The 12029-nt window shown below is 50.1% G+C and overlaps 1 annotated feature.

Annotated features, from left to right (window-relative positions):
* Nucleotides 5712-6213: an enhancer, noted in NCBI's record as "H3K4me1 hESC enhancer chr6:158109923-158110424 (GRCh37/hg19 assembly coordinates)". NCBI's record gives its function as "activates a minimal SCP1, AML or CMV promoter by ChIP-STARR-seq in naive and primed H9 embryonic stem cells {active_cell/tissue: H9 hESC(naive and primed)}" and the evidence as "EXISTENCE:reporter gene assay evidence [ECO:0000049][PMID:30033119]".

The following is a 12029-nucleotide window of genomic DNA, read 5'->3' on the forward strand; positions in this document are numbered from 1 at the left end:
CTTGAACTCATCAACACAACTGGAAAGCTACCAGGGAGATGATGACAAGCAAAGGTTTTTTTTGTTTTGTTTTGTTTTTTGAGACAGAGTCTCGCTCTCACTCTGTTGCCCAGGCTGGAGTGCAATGGTGCAATCTCAGCTCATTGCAACATCTGCCTCCCGGGTTCAAGCGATTTCCCTGCCTCAGTCTCCCAAGTAGCTGGGACTACAGACGTGTGCCACCACACCGGCTAATTTTTGTACTTTTAGTGGAAACAGGGTTTCACCATGTTGGCCAGGCTGGTCTTGAACTCCTGATCTCAGGTGATCCACCAGCCTTGGCCTCACAAAGAGTTGGGATTACAGGCGTGAGCCACTGCACCTGGCCTGCGGCATCTGTATCTTCTGAGATCTACTCTGAGGATTGAAAAAAAAAAAATTTTTTTTTTTGTGATGGAGTTTCCCTTTTGCCGTCCAGGCTAAAGTGCAAAGGCCCCGTCTCGGCTCACTGCAACCTCCACCTCCCAGGTTCAAGCAATTCTCCTGCCTCGGCCTCCCGAGTAGCTGGGATTGAAATTTAATCAGTTGGGTCAGTGTGGCAGCTGTGCTAGAAAACACACTTTCTGGAGATAATGAGAACAGATGGCTTCAGAGGCCACCAAGGGTTGTTTCCAACCCATCTTCTCATGGAAATGCCAAATAGGGTTCACCATGTGCCTGGATAACAACCGCAGGTCGGCAGTGCTGAGGCCACGGTGAGGCCCTGTCAGCTGATGCTCTGCTACCTATCAGGACTCCTGGTTCCTTGCCTTCTGCAGCTGTCCTCCTAAGATCTAGGTGAACATTGACTTTATGCAATAAAACGCAATCCCAGAGCATGATGAGCGGTAACTGAACGTGTAAATGTGAAGGGCCCTTTTATGAAGCACAGAAACCACCTCCAGTTCACCTGCAACGCTGTTGTGGATCTCTCTGCCTGTCCCCCAGGCTTCTCAAGGCACCCCTCCCTTCCATAACATACAGGATGTTAACTAGGAACCTCATGAAAGGGAGCCGGTCACCTCTGGACATGTCGGCTCCCCTGTGATGGGAACTTCCTCCTGACCAATGGGGTTCTGTATGTTCTCAGGAACTGACACGTGAGCTTCCAGCTGATGTGGCTGAATTCTGCATTATTAATTTCTGCATTATTAGAAATTCTGCATGATCAGAAAGAAGGGACTGGCATTCATTCCCACCAAACACCTCCTTGTCAGTTCATCCTGCTCAGCATCTGCTCTGAGAGGTCTTCCGCAGGCCCCTTCTTCAGCACCCGTCACCTGCCAGGGAGGAGACGAGTCGCTTGGAAGTGTTTAGGGGGATGGTGCTTTTTCTAAGAGGGGAGCAGAAGAGCTTTTTCTTTTTTTTAACAGAATCTGCTTCCATTTTTGTAACCCATGGTAACAAGCTGAACTACATTCAACGCTCAGTGTTTTATGTAAAAGCCAATGAGTGCCCATATAACCCACAAGAAGACACCAGATATGATCTGCCTCTAGACTGGATGCTGAGGCGGTTTGCAGCAGCAAGCGAGGATGAGGGTGCCCTGGAGCAGAGGCAGGGGAGCAGCAAAGCCAGGACCATGCCCTCAAGTCACCCCAGACTGAGCAATCTCCGCCATGGGGCGCAGGCATACCCTGGGAATCCCACGTGGAGAGTTGCTCCTGACTCACAGGCCTGGGCCACCCCTGACCACGATGGGGAGGATAAGCAGTGATGCCCTCATGTGAATATCTCAGGGTTTTGACATTTTTATTCTAAGAAATAAAAGGAGAAAACTCCCTGCTTAGTCGAGTCACAGAAAGAGCATAATGACTTCTGCACATGCCCATGATCTGTAGACCTCAGCCCAGCCGGCCCTGGCTCTGGATGCTCACACAGGAATCTTGTTCAAGGTCCCTCCAGTGGCAGGAAATCGCTTTAAAGACCACCTAACTGGGTGTCCCACCTCAGATCCATGCCCTCCACGGGTCATAAAACCAGTGTAGTGGGCGCAAACCACTGTCTTCTTTCTAGATAGAAGGGGTGAGAACAGAAGGATGAGAATAGGAAATGCCAAACTGCTTTGCCTGGAACAAGGAGAAACAGGTCCTGGGTCATGACATAGATATATTTTCTTATCATGGTCAAAAAGAAAATCTGAAAAAACTGTTCAGTTCACCCATTCCTGCCCCAGCTTACAAAAGAGAACCCTGGAAACCAGAGAGCTGAGAGGTCATATCCAAGGTCACAGAGGTGGCCGGGACAGAGATGGCACAGAGTGGAGGTCAGCCCTTCTCGAACCATGAGTGATAAAGAACAGTGTTCACTGTTTTAAAAAATTCCTATTCATTGCACATTAGTACTTGTATAAAATATAATTTTTAAATTACTGGGGAAAAAATTTAAATAGGTAACGAAAAGTCCCACTGTTTCATGATTAGATGTATTAGACATACTCTGTCCAATTGCCGTAGCTGTTTCTAAACACATACGCCATCTCTGTATTATCTCATCGGGGACCAGGATCAAACAGTTGCATGGTGCCGAGCTGCACTTGCTTTGAGTAGCCTCGTGTGCAGTGGAGGATTAACCGTGTCCTTAGAGAGGACTGGCTTCTGTCCTCTGCTAGTCATCTTTAAGCCCTTGCAACTGTCTGTGTGGTAAGAGTCTCTCTGCTTATCTGGGGGGTTGGACCGGCCAGGCAGTCTGTGCTGGCCATGTGGGTTATGGCCCCAAGGATCAGCTTGGTCTCTGGAGGGGCTGCAGGCCCAGGCCAGTGGTAGAGATAGCCAACCTGTCCCCATGACCCACCCCAATGAAAACTCCAGGCCTGAGGCTTGGGTGAGCTTTTCTGGTTGGCACTATTCCATGCCTGTTGTCTCATCATTGCAGGCAGAGATGGGCCCTGTCCACACAGCCCCTCTGAGAAAGGACAGCCAGAGGCTCTGCACCGGCATCTCAGACTCCACCCTGTGTGCCTCTTGCTTTGGTTGACTTTGATCTGGATAACTTTCACCGTAATAGAACTGCACATAGAAAGGCTCTTCGGAGTTCTGTGAGTCCTACTAGCCAATCATCAAACTGAGGGTGGTTGTGGGGAGCCCCAACCTTACACTGGGTGTCAGAATTGAGGGTGGCCTTGGGGACTCCTGAACTTTGCACCCTGGTACAGGCAACTGCTCCCAAACTGTGTTCTGAGGGTCCCCTAATGATTCCCCAAATCTGTCATCTCTCCCACCCACAAGCCAGAGCCTCTAAAATGCTGTGGTGCAGACACTGAGGGTCTTGCTCGTAGAGAAGCATGTTATCTGAGGGCTGGGGGGTCGCCAGACATTACAACTTTAGCAACCTTTTTAAAAAATGGTATCAACCAGCAAAGAGCAAGAAGCAGAGGGCAAGTAGGTCTTAGTAGGAAAATGAAGAACAGCTGACAGGATAAATCACTGTAAACATAAAGCTAATTCCCTTAAGTGCCATTCTAGACCTAGACCAATTTGTTAGCTTAAAAAAAAAAAAAAAGAGAGAAGAAAACATGGCTTATACTTTGGTTTGCTCTGAACACTGGCAAATTTAACATACTCAGAAATATTTAAAATTAGGAGTAATAAAGAGAGTTGTTTGGGATTTTTCCTCCTAATTTTCTAGGGAAAATGATAAAATCCTTAGCTAAAGAAATACATTGTTGTCTTTGGGAGGCTGAGGCAGGCGGATCACAAGGTCAAGAGATCCAGACCATCCCAGCCAACATGGTGAAACCCCGTCTCTACTAAGAATACGAAAAAGGCTGGGTGCGGTGGCTCACGCCTGTAATCCCAGCACTTTGGGAGGCCGAGGTGGGCAGATCACGAGTTCAGGAGATCGAGACCATCCTGGCCAACATGATGAAACCCCATCTCTACTAAAAAAATACAAAAAATTAGCTGGGCGTGGTGGCGGGCGCCTGTAGTCCCAGCTACTCAGGAGCCTGAGGCAGGAGAATGGCGTGAACCCAGGAGGCGGAGGTTGCAGTGAGCCGAGATCGCGCCACTGCACTCCAGCCTTGGCGACAGAGGGAGACTCCGTCTCAAAAAAAAAAAAAAAAAAAAAAAAAAAGCTACAAAAAATGGCTGGGCATGGTGGTGTGTGCCTGTAGTCCCAGCTACTTGGGAGGCTGAGGCAGGAGAATCACTTGAACCCAGGAGGCAGAGGTTGCAGTGAGCCGAGATCACGCCACTGCACTCCAGCCTAGGTGATAGAGGGAGACTCTGTCTCAAAAAAGAAAGAAAGAGAGAGAGGGAGGAAGGAAGGAAGGAAGGAAGGAAGGGAGGGAGGGAGGGAGGGAGGGAAAGAAAGAAGGAAATAAAGACATTGTTGCTGAAAAATTTCAAGAGGTGTTGCAGGCTTCAGCAATGTAAGATGTTAACTAAGAGCAAGAAGCAGAGGTGCTTGGGTTTGGGTAAAACCCTGAGCTTGGAGTGGGGGAGGGAGGCGGTCCTGCAGCCTGCTAGGTGTGGGAGCCACACATCCATTCTCTCAACACCACTTCTTGAAAACCGCTCTTGTCTTCTCATTGTTTGAAGACATGGCGGATTGCTTGGTTGTGAACTAAGAGCTAAGCCACACTCAGTGGAGGAAGCCTCGGAACCCTGTGGTTGTGCACACCCAGGAGACCTGTGTGGACACCTGTGTGGCTCCCCTTGCATAAGGAATTGTTTCCAACTCAGGTTCTTCAGGATCTGAAAACTACTGTCGTGAAGGTCACGTGCCAACAACAAGAAACCAGGGACATCCTGTAGGATATGAATGGGCAGTGAGGCGGGACCGCAGGGGGCATTTCAGAACTCCCCACATGACAAGGAAGTAGCTTCTGTGGGCCCCGATCTCCATCACTCTCGGCTTCTCCCACCTCCCCTGTGCCCAAGCCTGTTGGCAGCAGAGCGGAGGCGATGCCTCCAACGTCCTTCAAAGCAGCAGGTCTCAAATGTTGGGGCATGAGAATCACCCGGAGGACTGGAGAGAACACAGGTTGCTGGGCCCACCCACAGAGTTTCTGATTCATAGGTTTGGGATGAGGCCTGAGAATGTGCATTTCTAATACGGCTCCAGGTGAAATCGATGGCACAGGTTTGGGAACATACTTTGAGAACCACCGCTATAAAGAGTGGCAGGTTGGTCTGTTTCCGTGGACAGGGAAAGAGACGGCAGGTAGTCAGAGTGATGGAGTCCCTGGGAAGAGGAGGAAGACAAGGGGGATGGATGCCAAGGCCACTTACATCCATCACCACGTCAGGGCTTTGCACCGAGGTTGTGTAACTGTTGGCCTAGCCAGACCTCACCATGGGGAAACCAAGCAGGAGGAAGACTCCACTTCTCTGTCTTTCTCAGTGGGTACTGAGTAACACAGTGGGCCACGTGTTGGCCAGGTGCTGAGAATCCACAGGTGAACCTGACCCTGTCCCAGACTCCTGACTCCTCAAGGAGCTAAACAGCCTTCAAATTAAAAAGCCTCAAATCAGCAGATAACCCAACAGCGACCAGTTGATACTCAGGCAGCAGTCAGCCCGTCGGCGAGTGCTGGAAACGCAGGATTTACACTGATGACGTACACAGTGTGTGCCACTTGGGCCTGGGAGGATTGACAGCACGGTCACAGACGGTCATCCTTACAGGATTCGCACCAGGTACCCCCTCGATTCTTTGCTGTGCCACCACCCTCCACTCACTGAGTCGGGGCCCCTCTTGGGGATACTGGCACAGCCCAGAAGATAGAAGCTGATTCTTACCTGGAGCTGCCAGCAGGCTTTTGTTAAGCCAGAACAGAGACAGTAACAGGAAGAGAAAAGCCCCTTTGAGTCTGCGTATAAATAAAGACCTGGAAGGGTACCAGCAGCCAGTTTCCTTCCACCACCCAGAGAACAGCTGAGAATTCTGTCCGGACTGAGGGAAGGAGATTTCCCAATGGCAGATGGCAACCAGAGAGGAAAGCCTGCCCCCTCCAGGGGTTTTGGAGGAATCCGAGAGCAGAGGGATGGGACTGTGCCTCTTGGGTCGAGTCTAAGGACACAGCTCGTCTCCCAGCTGGCATGAGAGCAGCTAGTGGAAATCAAGGCAGGCCAGGTAACGGCCGAGAAACAGAGGGAGCCCCGTCACCAGCTCCCAGCCGCTCTGTCCAAAGCCCCAGACAGGCAGAGAAGAGCAGCTGGAAGTGTCCTGTGCCCTGAGCCGCGCCCAGAGGTGCACTCGTGTACAAAGCAGGGAAAAGGTCCTCCCCACCGCTCCTTCCTTCTCCCTGAGCCACGCCCAGAGGTGCACTCGTGTACAAATCAGGGAAAAGGTCCTCCCCACTGCTCCTTCCTTCTCCCTGAGCCACGCCCAGAGGCGCCCTTGGGTACAAATCAGGGAAAGGGTCCTCACCACTGCTCCTTCCTTCTCTTGGGGAAATGTCCTAATAGGCTGATTTTTGTAAGAGGACAGCACGTTGCTACTATAGGCACAAAATCTTCTGAGCCAACACACAGATCCGTGATGTCTACTGTGTGAGCAGCACCTGGGGGCCGTGGGGGGTCCCTTCTCCACAGAGGCCACCGAGCTGAAGGTGATCAAGGACCAAGGCGTCTTCTCAGATGAAGGGAAGCACACACAGCCCAGGATGAGAGGGAAGCTCTAACTCAATAAACGAAATGGCTTAGACAAGGTTACCTAGAAATGCCTGCACCGATGCTTCCCACACAGCGTGGAGCATGGGGACTCAGAGCTGGAAATCAAGTAGTTATCAAAAGCAAGCTTTTTCTCACCACGTGTGTGACTGTCACATTCATAATTGTCATAAAGAGGCACTTGGTCCCTGGCCACGTGGAGTGTCTACCTCAGTAGTCTGTGGGGCCATCCCAGGGCAAAAGTGGCTGCTGCCCACATCTCCAGCCTCTGCGCCTCACATGCACCCCCCGCAACACCGACTTGCTCCTGGGGCCTGGAACCCCCTTCCCAGTGCCACGTGCTCACACCCTCTGCCCAAGTTACTGTCTCTCCTGAGCACTGTCCAGCCCCTTGCTTTGCTTTTTGACTCTTCATGGCAGTTTTTGCTTGCTGATATTATATGCAATGTTGAAGTTGTTTATATTCTGTCTTCCCTAATAGAATATGTAACTTCCATTTGAAAACAAGGACTTTGTCTTGAATCAGGGGATCTGTTTCCCAGTGCCTCGAGCACTACCTGGTGCAGAGTAGATGCTCAATGTTTACGGAATGGATGAAGATCTTCATTTAGAGGAAACTCTACCTTGCGGCGAGCCAACTGCTCCCTGCCGCCATTCAGAAGCTGTGTTTGCTGTTCTTGTCCGGCCAGCCTTGGCTCCAACTTGAGAAAGCCCATCAGGGTGTCATTTCCCTACTGAGCTCACCCCAGTTCAAGAAATACCAATATCCTGCGTTTGCGAGAAGGATCTTACTTTTCTCTAGTTTATGGATTTTTTTTTTTAGCACGGTCATCATAATTGCTTGGGCCCAATGCTGTGTAAATGCTCCTAGCTAGTTTGAGCTCCAAAAAAAAAAAAAAAAAAAAAAGCAGCAGCAGCCAGTGGGAGAATGAAAAGAAATGGCTGTCTTCCATCTCCATTTTAAAGCAGGAGGAGCTCGCCATCATCACCGCCACCCAACGAGGGGAAATATTGAGCAGACGATTCACCAGATGCTGAGCAGACTGCAGTTACCATGGAGTCGGAGCGGTGACAGACAGTTGCTGTCTGTCCAGGATTCATGGGTGGTGACAGCACAGTGGGATAGCCCAGCCCTCGGGTCCCCTTCCACCCCCACACCCTTCTCGACTTCTGCCACCTGGTTAAGGCCCTTTCATGACTCATTGTCCACTGGCACTCAAGGAGAGGGGAATAAATAACCTTAAATCAGCCTTTTATTTCTGACAGGGTCTTGCTCTGTCACCCAGGCTGGAGTGCAGTGGTACAATCTCAACTCACTGCAGCCTTGACTTCCCAGGCTCAAGTGATCCTCCCGCCTCAGCCTCCCAAGGAGCTGGGACTACAGGCATACAACACCACACCTGGCTGATCTTTGTATATTTTGTAGAGACAGGGTTTCACCATGATGCCCGGGCTGGCCTCAAACTCATGCAATCTGTCTGCCTTAGCCTCCCAAAGTGCTGGGATTACAGGCAAGAGCCACCATGCCTGGCCTAAATCTGCCTTTTAAAATGAGCATGGCAGCAGCTGTGGTCCCAGCTATGAGGAGTAAAGAGATAAGGTTCACATTTTCCCTAAAAGGATATTTGGGATAATCCCTGGCTAGACCAGAAGCTCTCTCTGGGCAGGAATCTGTGCTCCATAAACATTTGCAGAATGCAAAGGAGTGAATGAGCCTCCCCATCTGCAGGCCCTCACCTGCCACCCTACTAGTTCCCTCCCTTCCTTACACTCTGTCCCGTACCTGCCACCCTACCAGTTCCCTCCCTTCCTTACACTCCGTCCCATACCTGCCACCCTACCAGTTCCCTCCCTTCCTTGTCACTCCGTCCGGTACCTGCCACTGCCACCCTACCAGTTCCCTCCCTTCCTTACACTCCATCCGTACCTACCACCCTACCAGTTCCCTCCCTTCCTTACACTCCGTCCGTACCTACCACCCTACCAGTTTCCTCCCTTCCTTGTCACTCTGTCCAGTACCTGCCACTGCCACCCTACCAGTTCCCTCCCTTCCTTGTCACTCCGTCCAGTACCTGCCACTGCCACCCTACCAGTTCCCTCCCTTCCTTGTCACTCTGTCCCGTACCTGCCACCCTACCAGATCCCTCTCTTCCTTGTCACTCCGTCCCGTACCTGCCACCCTACCAGATCCCTCTCTTCCTTGTCACTCCGTCCAGTACCTGCCACCTACCAGTTCCCTCCCTTCCTTGTCACTCCATCCAGTACCTGCCACTGCCACCCTACCAGTTCCCTCCCTTCCTTGTCACTCTGTCCCGTACCTGCCACCCTACCAGATCCCTCTCTTCCTTGTCACTCCGTCCAGTACCTGCCACCTACCAGTTCCCTCCCTTCCTTGTCACTCCGTCCAGTACCTGCCACCTACCAGTTCCCTCCCTTCCTTGTCACTCCGTCCCGTACCTGCCACCTACCAGTTCCCTCCCTTCCTTGTCACTCCATCCCGTACCTGCCACCTACCAGTTCCCTCCCTTCCTTGTCATTCCGTCCCATCTGTCCTTCCCACTGGCCAGGGTCCTCCTGAAAAGCAAACCCAGTCCTGTCTCTTCCCTGTTTGAATCCCTGATCACTCATCCTCAAACCCAAACTCCAATAACCCTGAAATGCAGCTTCCCCGACCCCGCCGCGTGCCTTCACACATCCACCCCATCTGCCTTGAACTGCATGTCCCCTCCCTGCCCTTGCCCCATTCATGTCTCCCAGGCCTTCGGTGATTCCAACCTCCAACCTCCTGAGAGGCTCGTGGGCCATCTCCTTACTGCCTCCCAGTCCAGCCTCCCCTTCTGTGTGGGGTGGAGCCCCCTCCTAATCCTAAGGCTCTGCTTCACGGAAATGCAGCGTTCTCCTCCTGTGCACTCTGTGTCAACCTGTTCACCTGTCCTCCTCCAGTAGCCTCTGAGCTTTTTGAGGGTACAGAGAGAGTATCTTTTATCTGAGAATCTCCCATTCCTGGCATATAATAGCCACTCAAAAAGTATTTTTTTAATCAGTAAGTGAATGATGAATGTATGAGTTGTTTTTGTTACACTTTTCATTTATTCAAGATGATAGAACCACAACATCCGAAGTCAATACTTGAAATAATGGCCAAAACATAATTATGAAGAAACACTGGTCACTACGCACCTATTAGAATGGCTAAAATCCAAAACACCAACAGCACCAATGCTGGTGAGGGTGTGGACCATAGGAACTCTCAATTCACTGCTGGTGGGAATGCAAAATGGTACTGCCACTTCAGAAGACAGTTTGTCAGTTTCCTACAAGAGGAAACATATTCTTACCATATGATCCAGCAGTCGTGCTCCTTGGTATTTAGCCAAATGAATTGAAAACTTCTGTCTGCACAAAAACCTGCACACGGATGTTTATAGCAGCTTTGTTCATAATTGGCAAAACTTAGGAGCAACCAAGATGTCCTTTTGCAGGTGAATGGATAAATAAACTGCGATACAGCTAGATGATGAGATGATTCAGTGCTAAAAGGAAATGAGCTTTCAAGCCATGAAAAGACATGGAGGAAACTTAAATGTATGTTACTAAGTGAAAGGAGCCCATCTGAAAAGGTTACCTACTGTATGAGTCCAACTGTATAACACTCCGGAAAAGGCAAAATTATGGCGACAATAAAAAGATCAGTGGTTGCCAGGGGTTGTAGAGACAGAGGGGTGAACAGGCAGGCACAGAGGAATTCTAGGGCAGTGAAACTACTCTGCATGACACTGCGGTGGTGTACACAGGTCACACATTTGTATAACACCGAGAGTGAACCCTGATAGAAACTGTGGACTTTGGGTGATAATGATGTGTCTATGTAGGACCATCGGTGTAACAAATATGCCACTTGGTGCAGGACGTAGATGGTGGGGGAGGCCGTGTGTGAGTCCCAGCAGGGGATGTATGGGAACTCTCTGTGATTTCCACTCCATTTTGTTGTGAACCTCAAACTGCTCTAAAAAATATTTTAATTTAAAAACAAGAAACACTGGCCGCATCTTCAAGGAAGTAATGATACGACATGAATGATTAAAGCAAATATATGTACACCAAGGATGAATCATGAAACCAGCTAAGGACATTCCCATGTGCCTCACCCATGAGAAGTCACAACAAGTGTGACCGTCCCATGGGATGGGCTGGCACCGATCCTGGCCTCGGGCAGCACTGGCAGGCTCTCTTTCCCCCAGATCAGCCCCCCTTGTTAGTGCCTGTTCCTGTCTGCAGACAGGGCTGTTGGGATGTGAAGTTACAGTCCATCGCAAGTGAGAGCTGGCAGTCAGGAAAATCAGTTCAGGATATCCTGGCTGGGGCTATTTTAGACTCAGTATCAGTGGCTTAGTTTCCTTTGCCGAGTAAAAGCCCTATTTAGGGCTGCACACACCCCACTGCTTCGGAAGGACTTCAGGGGATCTTAAGAGAAAATGTGTTTGAAAGATACAGGAAACGTTCTACTGCTTAACTGGGAAGAAATATACCCGAGGCTTGATGGCTTGATGCCCTTCGTGTGTGATCTGCCTCAAGATTGGGCAAGGAAAGAAAGGCCTTCCTGCCCTGTGCGTCTCCTTAGAACAGCTTTTCTAGAACCTTTGCAGTCACCAAAATACAATCTGTCTTATAAACGACTGGCTTTTCCTTGAGTCCCAGGTAGAGCATTCTTCTTACCCTATGGTGCTGTGTTCTTCCCATCATGTCCTATGGTAGTTTCTGCTCTCGGGAGCCCTGTGTCCACATTCACGACCAGCCAGCAAGTGTTGAGGGACATTTATTCTGTGGTCTTCAACTGCCAACTTTAAAAGATGATACAGTGGTTGTAGAGGGTAACTGAAAAGTTGCAGTGAAGAAACTGGACCTTTGAAAGGTTTTCCCATGATTCCAATACATTCCACCGGGCTAATCCCACCCCAAGGGTGTACAGAAGACAACTATAGACATGGAAAAATGGGGAAGGAGCCAACAATGCAGTACAGAGCCCCACATTCCCCGGAATTCACAATTCCTCTCTCCAGTGAATCGGCACAGAAAGGAAGTAAATACATTTGCCAGGACTTCAGTTAGCACTTGCTTGGGTGCAAGTGACAGAAACCCAACTTGAAGTAACTTAAGCAAAATAAGAGGGTTCACTGCTTCACAAGGATAATCTATAATCAGACCCAGCTTGGTCCAGGGCCCCATCTATGTCAGAAGGACTCGCTCTTTCCATCTCTCTCTTTCCACCTTTCAGCACTGCGCTCCTCCTGGTTGACTTCCCATTCAGATGGTCTCAGCCTTCAGAATGACAAAATAGGCACCGACAGTTCCAAGTTTTTGTCCTCCCAGGCAAGCAACCCCAGTGAAAGAGAA

This window comes from Homo sapiens, chromosome 6 (genome assembly GCF_000001405.40).
Source record: "Homo sapiens chromosome 6, GRCh38.p14 Primary Assembly".
NCBI classification, from domain to species: domain Eukaryota; kingdom Metazoa; phylum Chordata; class Mammalia; order Primates; family Hominidae; genus Homo; species Homo sapiens.